Here is a 26,366-nt window from a genome sequence, read left to right as displayed (position 1 = left end):
CCTCAGCCCTTCTCCTCTGCGTGGTCGGTAGCCCACTGTCCCTTCTCCCAGTAACAGAGCTCCCAAGAGAGCCCTGCTGTGCAGAGCCTGTGGAAGAGGCTTGGGGAAGCTCCCTGGGTCATCGGAATAGCAGGAGTCCTGAGTGAGCCCTGTGTCCCCATGGGAGATATGCTAATGAGTGAATTTGCCTGTCTGCAAGGTCAGGAGATTTACAATCACAGGAAAAACCCTGGAGCTTGTTCTCATTTTAGGTAACTGGAAAATATACTGGCCCTTCTCGAGAGGAACAGAAATGGGAAGAAAATGAGAGTTTTCTTCCCTCAATGGGGTTTTCTTTCCCCAAATGGGAAATGGGTGTTTCAGACTCAAGGGGCCGAAGAATTTGAGAGTGATCTCCCCACTAGAACTGATCCCCTCTCTTTTTCTTCCAAATGCACAGGACTCCTATCATAGCTGGAGGGCTCTTCGTGATCGACAAAGCTTGGTTTGATTACCTGGGGAAATATGATATGGACATGGACATCTGGGGTGGGGAGAACTTTGGTGAGTCCCTGCCTCTGCATCCTGACCTATGCTGTTCTATACACCCTGGGGATTGGGGCGGGGACCTCTGTGGTTTTGGATCCAACACCAAGCTGTCAGAGAGTGACACGTGCTTTGGATGAGGTCCTGGGAGATGGTGAGTTACTCTTTTGGGGGAAAGCGGGTAGGGTGCCAAAGGAATAGTTGTTGGAGGGTGTTGATAATAAGGGAATCTCTCCATGAGGCGGCTGCATGGATGTTGAGAACCAGGGAAACACGCTCTGACAGACTGTTAGGGGAAAGCTGAGATGCAACAGCCAGGAAGACCAAGGAGGAGCACCAAGTCTGAGGGGTCAGATACAGGCTTGAGCAAGGAGTGATGCATTTGAAAATTTGCAGTTGGAAGGAGCTTGAAGAGAAAGAATGAGGAACAGGAACAGCAGTGACATCCATTAACATCCATTAAAGTCTGTTGGCTTCTTTGATTGCAGCACTCAGTTTCGGGTAATGAGGAGGGTCTGGGGATATTTTGCCCTTATCTTATAGTGGGAGAGGAAGGGATGAGGGAATGGGGCTGGGTTATAGGACCCAAAACTGTACAAACAGATGGTTGGATCTGGTCATGGTGGGATAGAGCTGAGGCTTGCAGCCACAGGAGAAACAGCACAGTCAGAAAGACCCATTCCATCTAGCTAGTGATACTTAATACTCATTTCCCTTGTGTATTAAAGGTGTTAACGTCAGGATACTAGCTCTACTTCTTGGGGCTGTTAAAAGCCATTGAAGTAAATGTGTAAAATCTTGGCACCATGCAGGCATAATACATGTCAGTTCCCTCCAGCAGGTGAGACCTAGGAGATCACTAGGATAGAAGCTGCACGAGGGCAGGGGTTGGGGTCCATTTTGCTCCTGGCTGTCTCCAGTGCTTAGCATAGTGGCTGCCAGGTAGGAGGCCCTCTGTAACTATTTGTTGAATGAACACATCACAGTAGAGTAAAAGGGAGCCTCCCAAAGTGTCAGGACCCTTCCCTCTCTGGGTACCGTGGCACATGTCTGACACAGGCTCTCTGAGCAGGGGCTCAGGCCAAGAGAATGATCCATGGGGCACATCCCAGCATTTAGCAGTAATCCATGCATTGTCTGCTGCCATTGTTTTCTCCTGTTTCTGCCTCCAGGGTGTTTTATGGCTTTCTCCCTCAGTCACTAAGAGTTATTTCCTGGAAATTTATGGCTTCTGGCCTGACCCACAGCATCTGTTCTCCCAAACTGGGCAGTGTAGAGAAATGCATCAGAAAAGTCAGTCTCCTGCCATACAGGGTCCAGACTGGATGCCCAGCAAACAAAACAGAAAAACACCCCAACACCCACACAAAATCGAATCCCTTCCCTGGGACCCAGCCCATGAAGGCCTTCTGGAATGTGATAGGGGGCTGTTGGTGTGGGGTTCGAGGCTGGGTCTGCCTCCACCAGCCCAGGAGAACTTGGAGCAGGTGGACCTTTGGTGTTCTCAGTGGGGTAGGGACTTCTCTCTTATGGGGTGGAGCCCATTTTTATGTCTTGACAACCTCAGTATTTCTTATAGTTAGTGATTTGTTCCAGCCTTTCTCTCAGCCATCAGATGAATCCTCTCTACAGCATTTCTTATAGACAGCAGCCATCCAATCTCTGCTGAAATGTTTCTTATAATGATGCATTCGCTATTTCACAGTTTGGCATATTCTGTTGTAGATATATTTTTTGTTGAACTATTAGAGAATTCTTCTAAGTCAAAGCCTAGCTACCCCATCTTCTGTCTGTCAGGGCTTGTAGTGCCCTCTTGAACTGCACAAAGTGATTCTTCTTCCACATGGAAGTTCTATTTGGATTCAGGCAGCATGAATTTCAAGGATGGCACAGTCTGGTCCATTTTGGTATTGGTAGCAATACCTTTCCTTATAGCAATGTTAACACACATCTGCTCAAATCAAGTAGCAATCTCATCTAGCTGGCTTCCGACTCTTTTGGCATCAACAAGGGCTGATTGGAATAGAGAAGTTGGAGAGGGTGCTGGGAGGTGTGGGAGAGACATTTGCAATCCATCACAAAATTTTTAAACCACAAAAAAAGCACTGCCAACAGCTATCACAGGGAACACTTCATTTTATCCCACCCCAACATTCCATTATGTTATAGCCAGCTAACAGCACTTTGAAAGCCATTTCTGGATTTTTTTTTTTTTTTTGGCATTTTATATGCCAGAAAATGCAGTGCTTTTCCAGTGGTGGCTGTGTCACGTGGACAGTGTCACATCTGCGGGTGGGGATAACAAGGCACCTGAGTGCGTGAAGGAGGAATTTGAAAGAGGGTCCCCGTGAAGATCAGGGATTTGGATGGGGTGTACGAGTGATGCTCCAGCTGCGAAGGGGAGATGGCACTAAGGGGTGAAGAAAGGAGTCCTGGCTCCAGAGTGTGGCAGGAAGGGCCTCCTACCCACCAAGTCACCAAGTCCTGCAGATCAACTGCCCTCAGCATCACTCACATCCGTCGCCTTCTCTCCATCTGCTCCAATACTCTCCTCAGTGGTCCTCCATCTCTATTGTACTATCGAATCTGAGCTCTCACACCCCTGCCAAAGTGCTTGTTTTGAAATGCAAACCTCCCCACCCCTTCCGGGCCTGGCATTCTCAGTGGCTCCCTTTTGTCCTAAGGGGAGACTCACACTCCTCAGCTGGATCCCTCCCTCCCATGGCCTTGCCTGCCTCTCCAGCCTCATCAGCCTGCTCCTGCCTCAGCCTTAGGTCCAGAGGTACCAACAGAACCTCCCACTCTTCCCAGAGTGAGTCCAACCCACTATTAGGACCTAGCTTCCCTTTTCCACCAAAGTTACTCTGCTGCAGAAGCTGACCCTCTACAGGACTCAGCCCTGGGGCCACCTCCTCTAGAACCAGAAAGCTTTCCCTGCCCTACCTCTGGCCCACCCTCTCCCTCATTCTGCACCCTTCAGCACCAGGTTCTCTTCATCACTGCACTGAGCCCTTGTATGTGTTTGTCTCTTTCTTCTTCTGTGTCTGCCGCCCAGCCTTCTACCAAACCTGGGGCTCCTTACAGGCAAGATCATTCATTTGACTTCTCATTCTTGAGCCAGCAGTGGTAGAAACTACTCACTAAATGTGGGTTCAAAAAGCCAGAGACTGAATGGGAATGGGGTTCAAGATGGGAAGGGCAATATATATGAGGCTCCATTTAAAATAAGTTTCATTGGATTAAATGGAGCCCTAGAGAGACATGTTTAAGGGTTTCCCTTTAAATACGAGAATAATAGCAGCTGGTAGAGACATCTTTCCTTTCTAAGTAATAGAATTTCTGTGTGTTCTAGACATGTTTGCATGTATTGTGTTGTCTTTATTTCACAGCACAAAGACGCATGAGATGATTGGGACAGGCTCTGGCCAGAGTGTCTGTGACCTACTCAATAGCACATGGCCCTTGCCCTACCCCATCTTGGTTTTCATGGGTTAGAAGCAGCCACTGATGGATTGGCTGCCATGGCCATGTGAAAGCCGTGTCTCATACACTCACGTGCCCTGACCTCAGTGCCACCATTTCCAAAGTATTTCTAAGGTGAGCTGAATAGTTTTGATCATTACATGTGCATTTCAGCCTATGAGCAGATGTTAGGGAAATGTGGCTTTTAGATTTTTTTTCAGAAGTTGATTTGCATTAAAATTGGATGCTTAAACTGCAATTTACATAACACAGTGTACATGTAATGTGTCTACTTTGAGCTGCATCCTACTTTTAGCTTTTGGTCTTTAGAGATAAAAGGAGTCTGTTAGAGAGAGAGAGAGAGAGAGAGAGTGTGTGTGTGTGTGTGTGTGTGTGTAAAAGGAATCTGTTGCCCTAGTATAAAGTCTGTGTGTGTGTGTGTGTGTGTAGGGTGTATGTGTGTGTGTAGGTATGTAAGCGGTGCATATTTCCAAAAAGGAGCCCTTGGCACATATATGAAGGGTGAATATGGGATTCCTGAATTTAAAATGGGGGATTTCCAAAGCACAGCAGGCACAAAAGGCTGCCGAGAAGAGAGAGGTGAGTTGGGGCCCAGAGAGGAAGTACCACCACCTGCTGTCCCAGAATGTAGTCAGGGACACCAGGCTATGCCAGGCTCGGCTCTCCTGAGTGTGTAAGTATGTGTGTGGTGGGGGGTGGGTGGGTGTGTTATGGGAAGAATGTGGGCTGTGGAATCAGGTAAGCCTCAGTTTAAATCCTATAATCATCACTAAGCATTCATAGGCCTGAGTTTAAATCCTGTAATCATCGCTATGCATCCTTGGGAAAGTTACTTCACCTCACTGAGCCTGTTCCTAAGTCTTTAAAGTGGAGACTGATCCCCATAGTAGGGAGAACAGCCCTCCCAAAGATGTCCACACCCTAATCCCTGGAACCTGTCAGGATGTTACCTTAGGTAGCAAAGGGATTTCCCAGATGCGTTTCGGGTCATTAATCAGTGACCTGAAGGTAGCAGATTATCCTGGCTTTTCTGAGTGGACCCAATTTAAACACTTGAGCCCTTAAAAGTAGAGAACTTTCTCAGGCTGGAGGCAGAAGAGAAGTAGCAGATGAAACCAGAGAGATGTGAAGCCCGAGAGGTACCGACCACGGCTGCTGGAGGGGGCGACATGGAAGTAGCCGAGAGAGGCCCCAAGTTGACAGCCAGGTGGAAAAGGGAACCTCAGTCCTGCAACTCCAAGGAAAACTGAGTTCTGCAAACAACCTGAATGGGCTTGAAAGTGGATTCATCTTCAGAGCCTTCAGAAAGAAGCCATCCTGTTGACACCTTGATTTCAGTCTGAGACCCTAAGCAGAGGGCTCCGCCAAACCCACCCACTAAGTTTGTGGGGATTTGTTATTGCAACAGTGGAAAATGGTAGTAGGCCCCACATCACAGGGCTGTTGCAAAGATTAATTAGATAATGAAAGTGCCTGTTCTCCACCAGGGTGAGCTGCCTTCTCTTTCAGAGAGCAGGGATTGTTAAACGAGGATTATGTGTGACCTGCTGGAGTAGTTTATTGCTTGACTTTCTCTTTCAGCCTCACCCTTTCCATGATTGGTGGCTCAAGATTAGGGACATGACCTCATCTGAGAAGAGCATACAAGTGTGATAGCAAGTCAGCTTTTCCCCCAGATGGAGAGTAAAGCTAATGCAGCCAGCACTTTGTTCCTTGTCTGAGCTACTGGCTAAAGCCCCATGCCCAAGGGAGACCCCCTGAGGCCGTCCTTTCCTGCTGCTTCTCAACTTCCCTACGTGTAATTGAGTCCCATCAGACACTAGTTGCTCTGTTTGCATAGAGAATATGGAAAGATAAAGGTGTCACCTGGCATTTGCAGTCGTATGGGCATTGCAGATCATGGCATGCCTGTGGTCAATACTTGTCTAGAGTAAGAGGTGTGGATGGAGACTTGATTGTCCCAGCTGTGGGTGAAATGCAGTTTTGCTCACAGATTCAAGGCGATGTTTTCTGGGCCAATAAGATTATCTCTACCCAAGTCCCTTCATTCATTAAAGAGTAATAACAGAACTTGCTTTCTAGCCCAGTAGATGTTGGGAACTTAAAAATTACTGAAAGGCAAGGTTCCCCATTGTACATAAATATGTGTGGACTTATGAATGACAGTAGCCAGGTGAGTGTCTGTTTCTCAGACAGAGGTTTAAACTTGGCCAAAAGTAGAATGGACAATGCTATTGTATACACAATACACACACATATACATTATACGAGGCTCCATTTAAAATGTAGTACCCACGTGTAATAATTCTCTTTGCCTTTGTTTAGAAACCAGGCTATAAAATGAAATTAGAACCTTGACCAGTATGGCCAAGCAGTGGCATATGAATAGTCGTGGTTTGCTTCCTGGAGAGAAAGCTGCTCCTTCTCCCCTGAATTCCTGCCCACCATCCATGGGCTTGCCAGGTAGAAGTTGGTTCTGGTGAAGGGCTAGGACCCTGGGAGGGGTGGTAAGCACTACTGATCAGCTGATGGAGAGACAGAAGGAAAGTGGGGGGAATGGAGGGCGGGAGGGCAATTCGCTCTCAAATATTTACCTGACGTTTAAAGAAAGTAAGATTATAACAGTGCCCCGATGAGGATGGAATAATTACACATCTGCATGCCTGGAATTCAAAGTGGATTTGGGTCTCCGTGAAGTGGCATTCATCACCAGGGAGATTATGTGGGCGCTGACTCAGCAAGAACCCCCAGCAAACTCTCTACACAATTCTTTTTTGTTCCCTCCTCCCTCACTTCAGAAATGATGACTGTGCAGGTGCTGCAGCCTCGAAGATCAGAGGCCCTAATCTGTACCTGGAAGGTCCACCACCTCACACGTGAATCTACAGCACTTCTGATAGCACTTGTCCAAGCCCCCTTCACAGGACCTCAGGTCCTGTGACTGTCCCAAAGGTCTCAGCAGATATCTACGAACCACCAGGCCTGGCCTGCAATCCTGAGAGGATACACATCATTTCCTTGAAGCTGGTGATGTAGATAAGGGTAGAGCACCTGTATATCCCACATTTTAAATAACCCACACTGTCATCCCTATAAATCATCACACTGATCTGAAAACTCCAAGCCGCATCCCTCAGACTGCCTCTTGACTCTGGCAGCAGCACAGCGATCCATGTCAAGACACGTGCCTCCAATAATTCCAGGCATAACAATCTGAACTCCAGAGTAGAGACACTCTTAACTCATCTCGGCTGCAGGTTCCTCTGGGCGGCAGCAGCCAGCCTGAAGGAGACCTGAGATGGACATCCTTCAGGACTGGATGAGTGAGTTGATAGGGTAGGAATGTGACAGCTAACTATGTATTTGTCACTCTTGTTAGTTTGTGAGTGCCTTGAAGTTGGTTTCTTTGCATCCACAGCTCTACTGGCTGGTGGAAGATGTTCAGTATGGAGGCAGGGTGGTGTCAGGGGAAGAGCATGAATTTCGGAGTTGGAGAGATGTGCTTCCCTGCTTTTGAATGCCACCAGCTTCTCGCTCTCAGTTGTCCTATCAGAGTTGCTTCTGCATCGCAAAATAAGAACATTAATAACAATGGAGCAGGGTTGTTAGGACTAATCAGCTACTGCCTGCCTGGCCCAGAAGTAAATGAAGGGGTCATTTTCCTCCCATGGCTAATGCTTGCAGAATTGCAATACTCAATTTTTGTACTAAGGCAACAGACATAAGAAAATTAGAAGGAGGAAGAATGTCTTTAGAGGAGGCAGGGCTACAGCAGGCTGTAGGAAGATGCTGAGGGCATAGGAGATGTCTTGGGTGTGATAATGTCCCGTCCATCTCAATAGATACCTCAGCCAATCATGGAAAGTTGGTGCCAGAGCTTGGGGCAGAGTTGGGGCTGGTAGGATGGAGGTGAGTCCTCAGCATAGAGTGAACTCTGGGAGCAGAGGCGACAGCAGTGTCAGGAAAATGCTCAGAGGCAGAGCGTTGAGGGGATGTAGGAGAAGAACATGGGGAGACCAGAAGGAAGGTAGAGAAGGATCAGGGCCAGGCAATGGTGCTGGCCTAGCTGGGGACCTGTGCATGGCTGTGGCAGAAGGGAGGGGTCAGTAGATTCAGAGAGAAATAAAGAGCTGGGAGGAGGGATCATAGGAAAAGAAACAGCTAGTGGAGAACGGTGGTGGGGCATGGGGTAGAGGCCCAGGTTGGAGGGATTCGCTTTGCAAAGGGACATATGTCTCATTTGAATACAAGGAAAGGAAGAGACTGTAGATGAAACCCGTACATATCTTTAGAAGAAAGCTGGCACAAGATGTGTAAGTTATATCTAGCGAGCAAGGACTCCATCTCTAGTGTTGAGGAATTGGAGGGTTTTCCATTTTGGGAACTGGAGCAGGCCCTGTTTTGAGTCTCTGGAGAGGAGTTGATTGGAGCACAGACATGAGACTGAAATTCACACGTGCTGACACAACTCCACGCACCGACCTCCAGGTTCCTCTATGTGCTACTGCAAGATGGGGATGTGGGTGCCAGGCAGTTGGCTGAGCTCACTCCTTGCTCAATGACTCATGTGAAAAACGATTCAAACAGTGCCCCAGCCAAATGCCAACTCCCTCTGTACAGTGGGACTTTATGGAGAGTCGAAATCTCAAATGTGAAGTGCACACATTTCAGGTGTCTCCTGCAGTGTGGCAGAAGATGGGAAGAAGCATCTGTAAGTCATCTAAGAAATTAAAAGGGGGCACAGGTGGGTGATGTCCATGTTTTAAAGAGATTGGCTTTAGAGGGATGTCTCATAATAACTCCTGCTGATCTTTCAATCACACTTAGCGTTTACACAGTTGTTCTCAAAATTCTATTTGATTTGATGCTGACGGCATTCCAGTGGAGTGTTTTTATGACATTTGTTTGACATAAGAGCAAATCAGGCCTCCGCGAGCTTAAGCAGGTTTCCCAAGGATACAGCTAGCTGGTTACTGCGGACTTGGGCCTGCTGACTGTGAAGCTAAATTCTTCCTGTTTCCTTTCCCCCATGTTATTGCCATGATTCAGTAGCAGTCATGAGAAGTGCTCTCTTCCTCCTTGAGTCTACATGGTCCCCACCCTGAGGGGAATCCAGGCTTCCTGGGAGTGAACAGCAGTAGGCAGAGGGGCAGGTGCAGAGAAGGTGGTGGAGTAGGGCTAGTGTGAAAGAAGTCTTACCTCAGTCCAGGGGCCTTTCCAAGGAAACGTGGGAGGAGACAGGTAGGTGACAGGTAAAGGTGGCTGGGGACAGGGGAATGAGAGCAGGGTGCAGGACACACATGTGATACGAAGGCCCTGTAATACCTGTATCCTTGTTCCCTTCCCCTGAACACCCAGCCTGCTTCCCCATGGCTCCTCACATGGGCAGCCACATGCTTGGGCTCGACTTCAGAAGCATCAGCCAGACCAGAATACCTACACATGAGGAGCTGCCTTTTCTACCAGTGACAGGCCCAGTGGGATGCAGGAAGCAGCCTGCCCTCGCTGTGGTCAGTTAGGGGGTACATTATCTGTAGAAAATTTAAGAGCAATGATAACACTCACAGTCATTCTGCTTTTGAATGTCACCATGCACTGGCAATTTTAACCAATGGCAGTGGTAAAATTCCCTCCCTCCCCACTTGGTATGCCACCACTTCCTTCTCAGGGCAGAAGCACTACTTCAAGCCTGCTGGGGTACAGTCCCGGGGAGAAATACACTCACCACAGCCGCCTCTGCTAACTCCATCCCACCCACCTCTCTGAGGGCCCATAGCAGCAGCCAACCAGGAAGAAATGGGTGTGTGTACAAACCTAGGGGACACCAGCAACAACAGCTTTGAGGCTTCCAGCATTTTCTAGAACTGCTTTCAGCTCTAGTTAACTGCACAGACTTTCTCCTCCTGGGTTATGATTCAGGTGGCTCTTCCCCAGTGGTAGAATTGCATTCACTGTGGAAGGAACTTTTGTGGACACCTTGCCCTGAGGCCTTCTGGGGACTCAGTCCCCTTTGTTGCATCCTTGCCGTGAAGTTTTCTAGCCTGTCCTGAGTCTTCTCACAATGGTCACCTTGTCCCTGATTGTTAGAAAATTCTCCCGTATTCTCGATTGAAATTTCTTTCTCCTTGGTCCTGACTCTAACCCTCTGGGATCACAGGGAGTGCATCTAACCAGACTTCCACAATGAATTCTTCCGCAAGTTAGAAGGCAACTCTCTTAGTGCCCCCAAGGCTCCTCCTTTCCAGGCTAAGAAGTTGCAGCAGAGCCCCTGCCCCGCCATGCTGGCCCCTGAATATGCTCCAGAGGCCAGCGTGTTGGTTTGCACTGTTTCCCTGCTCACTTATACCACCCTCCAAAGTGGTAGGACTATTCCCATTTATGGATGGGGAAACTGAGGTCTCTCAGCCAGTGGAGCCTACAGACTGGCTGCAGAGTCTGTTCTTTCGCCTCTGCGGGGGCCTCACCGTTTCATTAGACCTGGGGCCTCAAAGCTGCAGCAGCAGTGATAAGAGGTCATAGGAGGGGCGTGACTGTCTTGCAGAAATCTCCTTCCGAGTGTGGATGTGCGGGGGCAGCCTAGAGATCGTCCCCTGCAGCCGAGTGGGGCACGTCTTCCGGAAGAAGCACCCCTACGTTTTCCCTGATGGAAATGCCAACACGTATATAAAGTAAGTGCCCAGGGGCTCAGCGCGGGTGGGCAGCAGCACAGGCAGCCAAGGCTGGGCGGCTGCTGGTAAGGGTTGCAGCCGTCCCTGGTGCTCTGTTAGGCTGCCTGTGTGATTTGAACTGGCCGGGGCTGCACCTCGTACTACCCAGACTCTGCTTGGATAGGGAAGGCAGGCCTGTCACATCCAGTGTTAGGGCCTGAGGCTTCCCTAATGCTTCTGAGGCTTCGGAAGGCCCCACATGAGGCCTCGTGGGCTTCAAGTCACCCATCAATGCCCTCCTGCAGGGCATGGGCTCCAGATATTTGGGGTTTTGTGAGATGGGGGAAGGGCAGCCCTTTTTACTTTGGAGTTCTAGAAGAGCCACTGCCCCACCTTCGGGCTGGGTCACTAGGGGAGAGGTCTTTGGGCAGATGCAGGGAATGGGGAGGCCCAAGGGATGCAGCTTAGGTCCCTGCTCCAGGGCCTGGCCAGCAGAGTCAAAGGGTCCAGGCTGGGGCAGGGCCTGAGACCCTGGGCTCCTGTCTGCTGGTGTGCTCTCCTCCTGTCTGGGGGGTGGTTCTTACTGGGACTCAGAGACCCAAGGGTGCCCACTTGCCTGTTCCCTGCTTCCTCCCTTCATCCACTCTTTTTTCCTCCATTTCTCCTCTTTCGATCTTTCTCTTCTCCTTTCAGAATAATTCGTGAATATTCCTCTTTCCATCTTTTCCTCTTGATTCTCTCTCTTTCCCCCACCCTCTATCTCTTGTCATCTGATAGCTTCTCCTCCACTTGGTCTCCTCTTCCTTTTTTTCTGTCATTTGGTCCATTGGGGTAGGGGGAGCTGTGTCATCACATCCTGACACAGCCACCCCAACACAGCTGTCCTGAGGAGACATGGGTTTGAGCAATGGGAAAATTGGCCACACCTTTTACAAAAACGTGAAGGGCAAGGGTAGGGTGATAAGAAAATCAGCAGGCCAGGAAGCAGTGGGGAGCAAAGGCAGGGCTGCCTCAGCTCTCAGGTTTTAAAAAGTAAAGGTGAGCTGGGGATGTCTGGCACAGGGAAGTGGTGGCTCTGCAGGAGCCATGTGGCCGCCTGGAGGGGGGCCGGCCTGGAAATGAGGGGCAGAGCCTGGGGCTCCAGACAGTCATTGTCTTTGAGACTGGGCCCTGGCCAGTGGGCATCCTGCATGACACTGGTAGGTCATTCCGTTTCTAGAAGATTGTGGCACAGATGTCTGCTAAACAGCTTCCAATGTGCTAATGGCTAGGTCAGTGGAAGGGGCCAGGGAGGCACTGTTAACTGCCTCCAGTGCCCCACCAACCAGGCTGTGTGTGCATAAACTGTCATTGCAGGTCCTAGCTTAGAAGGGCTTGCCACGCTCCTCTCTTGAATGCTTCTGCTCTAAAGCAGAGCTAGCATCTGAAAGAGCACCCCCTTTTCAGTTAGGCCCCAAGTTCCCTTACTTGGCCTCAGCAGATACCACTGCTGCCCAGGCCACCAGCCACCTGACTCTTTTCTGACATCTTTTCTCTCTTTTCTGGGGCTCTTTCTGGTACGCCTGATGGCTGAGGGATCCTTAGTGTCTGTCTCTCTGTCTGTCTCCTTTTCTGTGATTCGTGGGGTCAGAGTCAGGGCAGATAACCTGATTTTAAAAACTAGAGTGCTAGCAAAAAGTCTGGAAAGAGAAGCCTGATTACTTAGTTCTTTACACCTGCAGCAGGCTAACTGCATGGCCTATGGGAAGACCTGTGTGTGCCCACTTTCCCCTTGGAGAGCTGGGACCTGAGTACTTCCACTGTGGTAAAGGATAGAACCCAGGAGCAAGAGCCCGAGGACAGCCAGAAGCTAGATGCCCATGCAGGCCCTGCCTTTGCACTCTTGGTTACTGGCAGTGAAGGGATGCCAGTAGGGTTCCTGAGCCTTTTCTCCCTATTTCTTTGATAGCCACAGAAGTTCAGTTTCTGGCATGATTTTCCTGGTCTGTATCTTTTGGGGGAAAGGTTTGTTGTTACTAAAGGTGAGCATCCCTAATCCAAAAATCTAAAATCCAAAATGCTCCAAAATCTGAAACTTTCTGAGCACCCACATGATGCCACAGGTGGCAAATTCCACACCTGACCTCATGTGACGGGTTGCAGTCAAAATGCAGGTAGACAACCCACAGTTTATTCAGCATCCCCAAGGGAAAAATATCATTACCTTCAGGCTATGTGTGTAAGGTGTATGTGAAACATGAATGAATTTCATGTTTAGATTAGATGTGAGTCCCATCCCCAAGATATCTCATTATGTATATGCAAATATTCCAAATTTAAAAAACCCCAAATCCAAAACACTTCTGATTCCAAGCATTTCTTGTAAAGGATACTCAACCTGTACTAAAATCTTGTGTCTTGGGGTAAAGACCCCTTTGGAGATTGGGTGGGGCTTGGCTGGGCTCAGTGCCCTGGGAACAGGAATGATAGTCGGTTGACCATGGTGGCCCCCACCTAGGTGGTGTTGCCAACTCAGCCCACACATGTGTATTTTAACTGGCACTCACAGGGCCTCTCAGACAGCCCCTTACTGACACCCCTTGTCACTCCTTGTTTTCCCAGGAACACCAAGCGGACAGCTGAAGTGTGGATGGATGAATACAAGCAATACTATTACGCTGCCCGGCCATTCGCCCTGGAGAGGCCCTTCGGGAAGTAAGTGTCCCTTCAGGTTGAGGAGGGCAGAGACTGCAAAAGAGCCCAGCTCCTAGGACCGATGCAAATGGGTGCCGATAGGCCAGTCAGCTTAGCTACCCTCAGCTCCCGCAGGGCCCAAGGCTGTGGCTTCTTTCCTATTCCTCAGAGCTCCTGCCCAGCTCTGGATGTGCAGGGCTTTAGGCAGCTCTTGTGGAATGACTGCCTGGCAACCTGGACTGCCAGCTCTAGGGGAGCTGAGCTGTGCCTTGTGCAGTGGACCAATATTTCCTGCTTTTTGCAGACAGGAAGGAGGCAGGACTAGACAGCCTTAGTCCTTCTAGGTGGGACTTCTTCCCTCCAAGTTCTAGGTCATCCAAGCCTAAGCTCTCTCCTTCCTTGGAGGAACAGCATGTGTATAGATGTGTCCTCTACAGCAGTGCTCAAGTTTCATGGGAGGAGAGGACAGAGAAAGGAATGTTTATTAAAAGCTAGATACCAGGCTTGGCGTGGTGGCTCACACCTGTAATCCCAGCACTTTGGGAGGCCGAGGTGGGTGAATCACAAGGTCAGGAGTCTGAGACCCGCCTGGCCAATATGGTGAAACCCCAACTCTACTAAAAATACAAAAATTAGCTGGGCATGGTGGCGGGCACCTGTAGTCCCAGCTATTCGGGAGGCTGAGGCAGGAGAATCGCTTGAACCTGGGAGGCGGAGGTTGCAGTGAGCCGAGATCACGCCACTGCACTCCAGCCTGGGTGACAGAGCGAGACCCCATCTCAAAAAAATTAGTTAATTAATTAAAAATAAATAAATAAATAAAAGCTAGATACCATTACATAAGGCATCTCATTAATCCTCCCAACTCTGAGGAATGGGCGTAATGACTCCTGGTTTACAGATGAGGAGACTGAGGCTTCTACAGGTTAAGCTTCTTGCCCTAGATGACACCATGGCAGAGGGGGGATGGTGGCTCAAACCACACCTGTCTGATTTCAAAACTTGGAATGACCTTGTATTCCCCAACCCAGGGCTGATTAGAGAAAAATAGCAACTTCACTAATGCTATCATTTATGTTTCTTTGGGGGCAACCAATGGCTTTTTGTCATACTAACATCACCCACTCATCATACGAAGGCTGTTGAGCAGATGGGTTTTTTGCAGCCTAAATTCATAGGTTGATCCCATCACTGAGTGGGAGGATTAAATCAGAACCCACCAAAATGATTTGCATCTCTGAAACCATAAATCCATGCTGCCCCTCAGGTTCTCTCACTCCAAACCTCCAAGGCATTCATTTTCAGTCCTCATCAGAACTTCCAATCTGTTGGCCATATCAACCACATCCCCCTCACTGCCTTCCCTCTCTAGCTTGGATTCTACTCTTTTAAAAACTGAGCTCAAAAGGTCTTGTCCTCAGACCTTCTGTGCTGTTCTCCATCTAGCAACACCATCCCCACAGTTCATCCAGGTTCAACCTTGGATGAATCTGACTTTGCACCCTGTCCTCCTGTGCACACAGGCTGCTGAACAGAACTGGGAATGCCAGCTGGTGCTACTAATAATACACCGTGGTCGTCAGTCTCAGCAAGGCCTGCAGTCTGCCCACTGGCCCTGCTGCCTCTCCTAGCTAGCGTTCTCCCTCGATCTTCATTAAACCTCCACTCTTCCCAGCCCCTAGTCCACCCCCCTCTTTCGCTGGCAGCAGATGACACCTTCTGTTTTACAGATGAAATAGATGACATCAACTTCCCAAAACAAACCAACCCATTAACTTCACTGCTTCTGCAGCATCCTTCTCTGTCTCTTGTCTCAAAGGACAGGCTGTGCTTCCTGCTGTGGTCTCCATCCCTCCACCTGTACTCTGGATGAACCATTCATCGCTGCATTCATTCATAAATCAACATTTATCGAGTTCCCACTGCCTGGATTCATCTCCTCTTGCCTCCTGGCGCAGGGCCTCTCAGACATTAATGTGCACGCAGATTTCCTGGGGATCTTGTTAAAATGAAAATTCTGACTCTGGAGGTCTGTATTTCTAATAAGCTGCAGGTGATGCAATGCTGCCTGCTTGAGTGCCACAATTTGAGGAGCAAGGTTCTACCAAGGAGATTCCCAAACTAGTCTGCATATCAGAGTTCCCTGGGGAGTTTCAAACTGACTGCAGTCTGTGCCCCTCCTCTAGAGAGTTGGTTTACTTGCTCTGGGGTGTGGCCTGGGCTGTAGAATTTTTCTAAAGACCCCACACCAGGTGATTCTAACATGGGGACAAGTTTGGGAACCACACTCCTTAGGGGGCTTTGCCCTCCGGGTGCCTCCATTCTCTCCCTGATCCCCGGTCTCTCCTCTGCTGCATTATTCCCATCATCATTTAAACTTATTCAGTGTCTTACATCTTAAGAAAAAAAAATAGGAAGGGGAGGAAAGAAAACAAACTACAAAAACCCTCCTTCAGTCCAACATTGCTCATAATCCATGCTCTGTCTTTTCCATTCCTCCAGTGCCCAGCTTCATGAAGCAGTGGTCTGCTTTCCTCTCTCCACTCCCCTCCTTTCTCCTGGCCCCCAAGCCCTGAGACTGCTCCCACCTGGCTCCCTCGTGACTTCCTTGCACCCTGGACTGTCCTCTTTCGCTGCCCCATCAGCATGAGTCTTCTCCCACCCCCGGCCCCTCTGGTGTCCCCCAGTCCCTAGGCTTCCAGAACTCTGCAGGCATGGCGTTTCTTCTGCTGCTAGGCACTGCTTGCTTGGTCCCATTTGCAGGCTGTTTCCTCTTCCTACTCCTTGCATGATGGTCTTGCCGGAGGGTCCGTTAAAAAGCCTCTTCTTACTACATATTCTCTCTGGCATTAAGCACTATATCTATGCTGCTGATATTTGCATCTCTATTTCTAAGCTAAACCTATCCTTTGAGTTCCAATCCCTTCTATCCAATTATCAACTAGACACCTCCACCAGGATGTCTCCCTGGTACCTCCAACTCAACAAATCCTAAACTGAACTCATGACGTTCGCTCCTAAACTTACTCCTCATCTGATATTTCCCATCCCCGTGAAGAGTTTTCGTTGCACCTGTTGCCCAAGTCAGAAATCTAGGTGTCAACCTTGAATCCCTCTCCTTCTCTTTCCCATCCTTGAATCCCTCCCCTTCTCTTTCCCATCCAAATGATCACCAAGTCTTGGTAACACTGCACCATCATGCACTGAGCACACAGGCCCTTGCTAAACACCCAATATTCAGCATTTTAGAAACCTGACATCCTTCCCATCCTGATGGAGCTTAGAGTCTGGTGATGAGCTGTGGTTGGTGCTCTGTAAGAAGAAGTTATAGTGCAATCTTGAGGTGGGGAGTGGAAGGAAGTGAGTTGGACAGGAAGCAAGGCCAGCTCTATGTGTTTGCCCAGGAAGAAAAAGACATGGATGAACTTAGGTGGGTGCCGAGAGGTGTGGAGGCACTCAGCCTGTTGTTCTTCATTCCCACCCCCACTTCCCTGTTTGAAAGCATGATCAGCACCTGAGTTTCCACAGCTGCCTCCTCACTACCCTCCCTGGCCCCAGCTTTGCCCATCAGACCCATTTGTGGACCAGCACTGAAATGCTCTCAAAGTACAAACCACCTCTTGCCCTGCTTAGAACCCATCAGTTTCATCCCAGTGCCCTTTAAACAAGTCCAAACTCCTTGGCAGTGCCTCACGGGACCCTTTATGGTCTGTCTTTGCTTTCAACTCACCCATTTCTGCTCTTCCAAATCACCACCCATACATTCACATACACATCTATTTTAAGATCCTGCAGCACTCTTCCTGCCCGCAGAGCTTCTTTCATGTCTTCACATGTCCTCATCTTGCTCTCCCCACTGCCTCTAGCAGGGGCCCCTACCTCTGGTTTGTCTAGATAATGTCCCCTTTTCCTTCCAGATACCAGCATCACCATTACTACCTTGACCACCATGGACCCGACAAGCAAGGGTCCCCCTCTGAGTTGTTCCCATAGGTCCCTCCTGCTCATCCTATGTCACCTGGGCTGTGATGGCTTATTTCATTATCTTTGCCTATTGTTCAAAAGCTTTCCATAGTATCCCACATTGGGTACAATGCCTGACACATAGTAGGTGCTCAATGAATATCTAATGAACAAATACATGACCAGGCCCCAGAAACAGCCAAATAAAAGGATTTTTTGAGACTGGGGCAGCGGGGAGTGGTGTTTCGGCTGCAGAATCCAAAGAGAAATTGTGAATAAGCAGGCCCAGAGCCCCAGCGGTAAATTATTAACAACACACTGAATGTTCTTGCAGCTTTGTTTTGAATGAAAAGTAAAAACACCCCCAAATTCCATCTTCAAGTAAAAGCACCAGTCCTCGCTGTCATTACCGCACCATTGTGAGATATTGCTAAGTGTTTCCATAGCTCTGTCTGCAGTTATAGAAATCTGTTCTTGCTTAATTTCCCCAGCACCTTCCAGAGAGATGTGAGCACAGAGCATGGGCATGGGTCGCGCTTTGTGTTCTCAGTCTGGACTGGCGTTGCTGGCGCCTGCCTCTGACAGCTGTGTTTTGTCTTTGTGTCTGTCCACAACCCCGTTGCCCCCAGTGTTGAGAGCAGATTGGACCTGAGGAAGAATCTGCGCTGCCAGAGCTTCAAGTGGTACCTGGAGAATATCTACCCTGAACTCAGGTATCCGTCCTACCTGTTGGAGCTTTGGCTGGCTGAAAGCAGAGGCCCTCAGCTGGCTTGGTCTGGAGAAGAGACAGACAATGACCAACTGGATGAGGGCTTTTATGTATATCAGAGGTGTAAGAAGACCAGTTGGCTCCGTTCACCCCTAAAACCCGGAGGGACCTTATACTGAATCAATAGCATGAAGGATTACAGTTAGCCAGTAGCAGTATTTCTCACCTGCTTGGGTTTGAGCCCTGACTTACAGACTCACTGACACCAGCTTCACTGCAGGTACTCATCTCCCTCTGTAGCTCCTGGGTCTTTCCTTGCCACCTCATTCTTAGTGGCACCCTGCCCTTCCCCGAGCAGTGCAGATATTTTCTAACAGCCCAGCCCTGCCATTCTCAGAACACTGCCCACCCTCTCCAGCTGGTAGTCTTGCTAATCCAATGAGCAGTGGACTCTCCTCTCTCCCTGTGACTCTCCTCCAGCATCCCCAAGGAGTCCTCCATCCAGAAGGGCAATATCCGACAGAGACAGAAGTGCCTGGAATCTCAAAGGCAGAACAACCAAGAAACCCCAAACCTAAAGTTGAGCCCCTGTGCCAAGGTCAAAGGCGAAGATGCAAAGTCCCAGGTAAAGTAACTGGCTGGGCATACAGGACCATGTGTCACAGTAGAGGGAGGCAGCCAGATGACTCTGCCTCCATCACCTGCTCTTACATGACATCAGATGCCCATTTATTCCCAGAGATCGGTAGTGGAGCATGAGAGGTGTGATCCCCCCACTCTGCCACTGTGCTTACACTGCTTGCTTTCCAAGTGCATAGAGTTCCTCTGAAAGACAGTTTAATAGGCAGCATCCTGCCTATAGGAAATTGCCCATTAAGTTAGCAGGAGCTTAATGAGTTTGTTGTAGTTGGTGTCCTACCTGCTGGCAGCAACCGTGGGCAGGGTCAGGCAAGGCCAATGGCACAGCTAGCTCGCAGATGTGAAATGCAAAGAGGGAGAAGACTGCCGCTGGGTGACACTGCCTTCTGGGACAGGACGGAATGCCTGCTCTGTGAGTCTCCCAGCTGATTTAGCTCTGACTGGCAGGTAGTCACATCAGATTTGGTAAAACCCTCTCTGTCTGCCACCCTGTCTCTGGGCAGCATCCTTCTTCATCCCCAGCTTCACCTCTGCATCTCCTGCCTCTCCTAAGTCTGCAGGACCCCTTGTGGTCCCTTCTCTGAAAGGTTTCCTGTGCTTTACTTGATTGATCAACAAAGTATCTCCCCCTCCCTGCCATGTTTTTTGGGACAGTCTTCTCCCATCTGAGGCTAGAACTGTTGTTTTAAAGGTCACTGACAAATTCATAGCCTGTCTCATAGCACTTGGCCTGCTGACTGCGTTAAAGTACGGTGGCTCACGCCTGTAATCCCAGCACTTTGGAAGGTCAAGGTGGGTGGATCACCTAAGGTCCGGAGTTCAAGACCAGCCTGGCAAACATGGTGAAACCCTGTCTCTACTAAAAATACAAAAAATTAGCCGGGCAGGGTGGCATGCGCCTGTAATCCCAGCTACTCAGGGGGCTGAGGCAGGAGAATCGCTTGAACCCTGGAGGCGGAGGTTGCAGTGAGCCGAGATCACACCATTGCACTCCAGCCCAGGCAACAATAGTGAAACTCCATTTCAAAAAAAAAAAAAAAAAAAAAAAGGCACGTTTGTCTATGGCTTCCTTGCTAACTCCTCACCCCCACTCTCATACCCTTCTGGCGGGTATTCATCAAGGTTCCCAGCTCACTGTTCTTTTCTCTACAAACGATTTCTTGGAGATTTTTTCATGCTTCCAGCTTTGACAGTTTCCTGTTTATTGATTCACAAATTCCTTATCTTCATCTATCCATGAATTCATTTATTCATTCAACAGATACTTCTTTATTAACTATGAAGATGCAGAGATGAAAGACTAGGTTGCAGGCCTGAAGGGCCCCTCAAAGGGCCTAATGTAAAAATAAGCTAGAAAGTAGTATGATGTAATCTCTGTCCTGGATGGAGTTTTGTCCAGGATACCATAGAAGTTGCAAGAGATGGCATCCAAGTTAGGTGTGAGGCTCAGGGAAGATTTCCAACCGGACTTGGAAATGAGTTGTATTCTCAGAGATGAGTAGAAATAGGCCAAGTTGGGAAGGGAAGAAAGGGTGGCCCAGGAAAGACCTGGAGCTGAGCAAGGGTGCTAGTGAGGATGCTGCCTTTGCAGGACAGTGGGAGAGTAGGGTTGGAGAGTGGGATGTGAGGGGAAGGAGCAGCAGACGGTGAGGCTGGACAGAAAGCAGGAGCTGAATCCTGGTCTCTCTTCCTGTGCTGAAGAGGTTATGTTTTGTTCTGGGAAACAGGATGCTATGAGATCTCAGGAGAGGGTTGGGAATTGCAGATTTGCAGGTGCTGAAGAGGTTGCTTTTTGTCCTGGGGAACAGGATGCTATGAGATCTCAGGAGAGGGTTGGGAATTGCAGATCTGCAGGTGTAGATCTCCTACCTGGACTTTCTCAACACTGGCTGATTGAGTGAGTCCATGCCCACAATGAACTCACTTGTGACTCAAGACAACAGATAGCCATGAGCATCTATCAGGCACCCTGGCTGCCTGCTTGTCCCACTAGCTCTCTCCATGTGACCCCCTTCTCCCATGACCCTCAGTTCCAGCCTGGTCCAGCTTCTGTGGCTCTTCTTTCTCCTGCACCCCTCATTGTCTCATATCTCAGAAGGGTTGCTCTTAGATCCCATGTTCACTTCTTCATGCTAGATCAGCATTCCTTAATCTCAGCACTCTTGACATTTGAGCTGGACGTTTCTTTGTTGTAGGGGCTCCCCTGTGTATTGTGGGAAGTCTAGCAGCATCCCTAGCCTCTGCCCACTCTTGCCAGCAGCACCTCCCCACCACACAACTCAACACAAGTCACGGCCATCAAAAGTGTCTCACACATGACCAAATGCCCCCTGAGGGACAAACCTATGCCAGTTGGGAGCCACTGGGTTAGATTACAGCAAAAGCCTCCACTTGCTTCTCCTGCCCTGGCTGCAGCCCTGCCCCTACCCTGACATTGAATGTGGTCATTAACCCATTGTTCCCAGTCTCAGCACAGACATCGATGGCTCCTATTGTCTATCACAAAAGCCAGACTCTTGGCCTTGGTACTTGAGGCATCTCAACCCAGCTCCAGCTTGCGGTGGCTTTTCCAGGAATCATATCTCTACTCCAGTAGGGCAGGGGAGGGAGCTGCTTGAATCAGACAGGAAAAGGGAAAGGAAATTGAGGTGTTGATTTTGCTTAAGGCGTGACTGCCTGGATGAGAATGACATAATTTGCTCAAGTGGCATTTTGCAAAATGTTGTGAGTAGGGGACACACATCCCTGTCTTCTGAATCTGTGTGTGGGCAGTGCTGGTGGGCAGCAGCCAGAGTGTTGTCTTCCCCCTTTCCCTGGGGCAGGAGTGTGCTTGGTCTGTTTCCAGCAGAACAGGGGACTTTTCTGGTACCTGACACCTTTGGCTGCATAAAGAAGTGGGAGAAGAGGAGCCAGGTCTCTGTGGGCCTCCGAGAGGGGCCCTGCAATGCTCTGGCCCTGAGGAGAGTTGTCAGGCCTTTATTTGACCAGAAGGTAATAGTGCCCATCCCAGCTGACCTTCCTGTCATGTGAAAAAGGGGAGGGACAGCAGTCATCTGGGGGCAACTCACACTCATCCTGGGCATGGCCTGTGGGTGAGTAAAGCATCTTCTCTGGAAGATGGTACTGAGATGCCCCTCCTCTCTGCCTTGGAGAGAACAACTGGGTTGGTGTCACCACAGTGTGAATGTGGGGTGCTGGGAGAATACTCCTAGACAGGATGACGCTCAGTCCACTTCACAGACTGTACCACGGCCCAGGGACCATTCCTGCTGGGATGCAAGGTGGCCTGATGCTGGGTGAGACAGAGCCCCTGCCCTCCAGGGCCTACGGCACGACTTGGATACATTTCCAAGTAATCTGGAGGTGTTAAACCCACATGGGACTGAAAGAAATCCACATGACCATGCCAGCTAAGATAATCTCCCTGAGTATGTGTGCCTATGTGTGTGTGTGTGTGTGTGTGTGTGTGTGTGTAGCATACACTCTCATAGGACTGACTTATATGGCCTTTCTCTTCTTTTCAGTGTCCGCTCCTCCTTCCCATGTAAATGTCCTGTTTTCCCACTTCCCAACCCCTTCTGCTAACACTGGGCTTTGTCACATTCTCTCCTCTTATGGCTGCTTTGCCCCCATCACCTCTTCCTACCTCTGTCCTCCTACTTGTCCTGCCTCTTGGCCTGTCCAGAGGGAGTCACATCTGCCCCTCAAACCCCTAAACATGGTTTGTTCAGTCTTCTCTGCTCCCACTTCTTTTGCCTCTGAGAGGCCATATCAGGGAAGTGACATAAAAGCCTGTTAAGTAGATGTTGCTATTATCCCATCGTACAGATACAGGCCGAGGCCAAAACAATGAAACCAAGTCTTGGAGAGGTTACCCAAAGTCATATCCTACCAATAACGGTGAAGATGGATTTGGAGAATCTGGCCGCATATCATAGCTCTGCTCTTGCTGATGCTGGAGAGTCAGGGCTGGCTCTGAGCTCTTTTAGACAAGTGTAATCAGGTGAGAAGACACCTGCCCCTGAAATTCCTCTTCTAGGTTGTAAACATTAAAACCATAAATCAGCTCCACCTTGACAGGGGAGAGTGGCAAGAGATTCTTCTTCTTGGCCAGTTTCAAAGGACAATCTTTATGAAAAGATGAACGAAGGTTGTACCCCCATGTCAAGGTCTCGGGTGGAGGACCATGCCAGAGAGTAGTCCCCTCCCTTATGTTATGGGCATTGGGACAAGAGCATGAATGGAGGCTCCTACTCCCAATTCCACACCAGAATGTGGGACACATACCATGCTGGCTTCCTGTCTTGCCTGTCCCCATTTCTTCACACCCTGGCTGCATATCCAAGCTGGGTCACTCCCAACTAAATGGTCCCCCTTGGGCCTAGGGCTGTGTACTAGGGATATAGTCTACCCTCAGAGGACACGCTCAAAGGCGAAGAAGCAAAGCCGCAGGTAAAGTAACTGGCTGGGGATACAGGACCATGTATGAACCCAGGGATGAGATCTACATAGGTTTTTAAATAAGGCTTGGTCCTTTTGCCCTGGAGACTCTAGGGTCCTCAACTGTGGAGTAAAAGCACCAGAGAATGGGAGCCAAGGGCTGAGTTCAGCTTTAGCTGCCCACAGTCTCTGCAGGCAGGTGAGCCCCAGGCTCTGGGGCGTCCTCGTTGTTGAAAGGAGACTGTTTTGTCCTCTGGTTCTGACACTGGCTCCCGATGCTGCTCCACCCCCAGTCCTATCCATTCCTCACCTGCCTTCCCTTCCTCTCTTGGCTGACTTGTCAACCTTGGGAGCAAAATATTTAATCTGAGTGTGTATTGAAGATGTCAGAAAACTGATGCCTTAGGTGAAATGCGAGAGAAATACATCATCCGTTTGTAAACATGTGAAGCCCGAGAAGGTTAACAAGTTTCCTCTTAACTTTATTGGACTCTAGAAAAATATTTGTGAAAGGTAGAAAGAATACAGGTGCACCAATCTAGTTTCCATCCCAATTTAAAGAAAGGGGAAAAACATAAGATATATTTTTAGCTCGTCCTTTTACCTGTCTCCCAGTGTGTGGGCTACTGGCTGTGGAGCATGCAAGGTGGGTACCCTGGGTGGGCAGGTGAAGATAAAGTCTCCCCCTAATCTGGACTGGCACTGGTGCCTCGAGGTGTGTGAGCCTGAGTCTGCCGGTGGGACAGGCTGCCTGCACACCACCCTCCCTGCCCGATGCCACCCTCCCTGCCTGATGCCACCTTCCCCGCCTGATGCCACCTTCCCTGCCCGATGCCACCCTCCCAGCCCACACACCACCCTCCCTGCCCAATGCCACCCTCCCTGCCCGATGCCACCCTCCCTGCCTGATGCCACCCTCCCTGCCTGATACCCCCCTCCCTGCCCGATGCCACCCTCCCTGCCCGATGCCATCCTCCCTGCCTGATGCCACCCTCCCTGCCCGATGCCATCCTCCCTGCCCAATGCCACCCTCCCTGCCCGATGCCACCCTTCCTTCCTGTGCTTTGTCAACACAGTCTTGGGAATGGCTCCATCCCTGCCTCCAGTATAGCTCCTGGGCAGGATTCCAAAGGAAGGTCTGTAAGGTCCTCTCTCTTCTTGTTGGCTCCCCCTGGTCACCATCGTGAACACAGCAGACAGCAATTGAGCATTTGCTAATGGAAAGCACCACTCTGGGATAGGTATTAACCCATTTGTTCCTTGCAGTGACCCTCTTAGAGACTGATGTCATCCTCATTTTACATGCAAGGGAACTGTGGTACAGAGTTGAGTAACTCGCTCAAATTCACAGGTTAATAGGCAGCTCTGTGGGGATTCTAGCCCTGGTATCACCCCAGGATCCAACAACATGACCCAGCGAAGATGTACTGAGTGTGGGCTTTAATCACACATATAAGTGTAATCTTGCCACATGGGAGGAAAGGACAGAATGGGCTGGAAATAAAGAAAAGACCCCAAAAGTGGGTTCATCAAAGTTTCCAATGGAAGGAGGTGTGTCTAGGAGCCCACCAGGTCATCCTGCTGCCTCTGGAGAAAAAGCCTCCACCAGGGAGGGACTGAGGCAGACCCCAGCACAGCCATCAGCTCACTTGTGCTGTTGTCACAGTTGGTACAATCACTGCAGCTGATGCTTCAGAGAGCCAGAGGCATCACGAGGGCAGTTCATTTGAATTCAGGCTCATCCATTCTAGATGCCTTGTTTGAAGGGAGAGCTTCAAGGCTATGTCTCAGGGACCGTGGAGGTACCCAGTATGGACTAAGATGTTCAAGGCCCTGGATACTTGGCTCAGGTCTCACCTCACCAAGGAGAGGCCAAGTTCAGAATCAACCCTGGGGTCTGCTTCTGGCATTGCCAGAGTAACCATTGGCCCCTTTGATCCTCAGTTTCCTCTTCTACAAAACGGGAACCGTAGTGGTTATGAGAATTAAATAGACAATGAATGTGAAGCAACTAGCACCAGGCCTGGCCCTTGAAAGAGTCTCTTACAAGCAGTTGTCACTTTGGCTGTCTAACTACAACAAAACCAGCAGTGCTGTCCTGCCCATGCCTGGTGGTGTCACCCCTCCTGGAGAGAGTATTGACAGATGGGGTAAGGGAGGCTTGGAGAGACTGCCCAGGTGGTATGTGAGTAATGCCAGGGCATGGTTCAGATACAGGCCTGCCACCTGCAGAGCCCAAGCCCTTCAGGTGAGACTAGGGCTTCTAACCCTCAGCACTACTGGTAATAGGGCCAGATCCTTCTTTGTTGAGGGGTTGTCCTGTGCAGCATGGGATGTTTAGCAGCATCCATGACCCCACCCACTGGTGGCTAGAAACACTCCTTCACCCAGCCATAGAACCAAAAATGTCTGCAGACACTGCCAGAGGTCCGCTGAGTGGGGAGAGTCGAGAGCCGCTGCTCCAGGCTGATTGTTTCTTGCCTACCAGAGGCAGGGGCCCTGGGCCATTCCAAGAGCAGCTCCTCTGCCTGGGCCCAGGCTCGTCCTCACTCCTGCCTCTTTTTTTTTTTTTTTTTTTTTTTTTTTTTGAGACGGAGTCTTACTCTTTTGCCCAGGCTGGAGTGCAATGGCATGATCTCAGCTCACTGCAACCTCTGTCTCCCAGGCTCCAGCAATTCTCCTTCTTCAGCCTCCTGAGTAGCTGGGATTACAGGCATGTGCCACCACACCTGGCTAATTTTTGTATATTTGGTAGAGATGGGGTTTCACCATATTGGCCAGGCTGGTCTCAAACTCCTGACCTCGTGATCCACCCATCTCAGCCTCCCAAAGTGCTGGGATTACAGGCAAGAGCCACCGCGCCTGACCCTCTTTTAGTTACCTCTTAAGACAATCTTTCATCCCTGCTTCGCCATCCTGTGCAAGACCACAAGCCCCAGGCTGGGTGCTGTGGCCCGTCTGCATCCCAGCTTCCACAGCTATGGCCAGACTGGCATCTGCTAGAGAAGGTTACTGACCCCTGCCTGTCCCCTCCCTGCTCCCACCAGCAGTGGCCATCTCCAGACGTGTCCTCCAAGCACAGAAGGTTTTAAGGCTGTCTGACCCAGTCGATCCCCTCCTCATTCATTGGTGACTCCCCTCCTCCTCAGCCCCCAGCTGGCCTATCCCAGTGGAGGGGGCAGGGTCACCCACACCAACTAAGGACAGTCTCTGGGTTGCCCTTCCATGGCTACAGCTTTGGGATAGGAGGGACGGTTCCCGGACCAAACCGAGGGTTGAGCTGCTTA

The 26,366-nt window shown here is 49.9% G+C and overlaps 1 protein-coding gene across 13 annotated transcripts in view; it reads left to right on the top strand.

The window, feature by feature from the left end:
• Window positions 1–26,366, top strand: part of GALNT14 (polypeptide N-acetylgalactosaminyltransferase 14) — a 251,659-nt gene that overhangs the window by 195,697 nt on the left and 29,596 nt on the right. For 10 of the 13 annotated variants that reach the window (XR_007081588.1, XR_001738941.2, XR_007081587.1 and 7 more), the window contains 5 exons: window positions 440–543; window positions 10,550–10,676; window positions 13,257–13,349; window positions 17,921–18,004; window positions 18,481–18,625. Coding sequence is in view for 8 of the 13 variants with exons in the window: in NM_024572.4 (NP_078848.2) it covers window positions 440–543; window positions 10,550–10,676; window positions 13,257–13,349; window positions 17,921–18,004; window positions 18,481–18,625 (553 nt within the window). In the remaining 5 variants the exon portion in view is untranslated. The remainder of the gene's footprint in view (window positions 1–439; window positions 544–10,549; window positions 10,677–13,256; window positions 13,350–17,920; window positions 18,005–18,480; window positions 18,626–26,366) is intronic. The other 3 variants (XR_001738943.2, NM_001329097.2, XM_017004907.2) reach the window with 1 other exon arrangement.

Source organism: Homo sapiens, chromosome 2 (genome assembly GCF_000001405.40).
Source record: "Homo sapiens chromosome 2, GRCh38.p14 Primary Assembly".
Classification (NCBI taxonomy): Eukaryota; Metazoa; Chordata; class Mammalia; order Primates; family Hominidae; genus Homo; species Homo sapiens.
The sequence above is the reverse complement of the archived record's forward strand: the minus strand, read 5'-3'. Positions and strand labels throughout refer to the sequence as shown.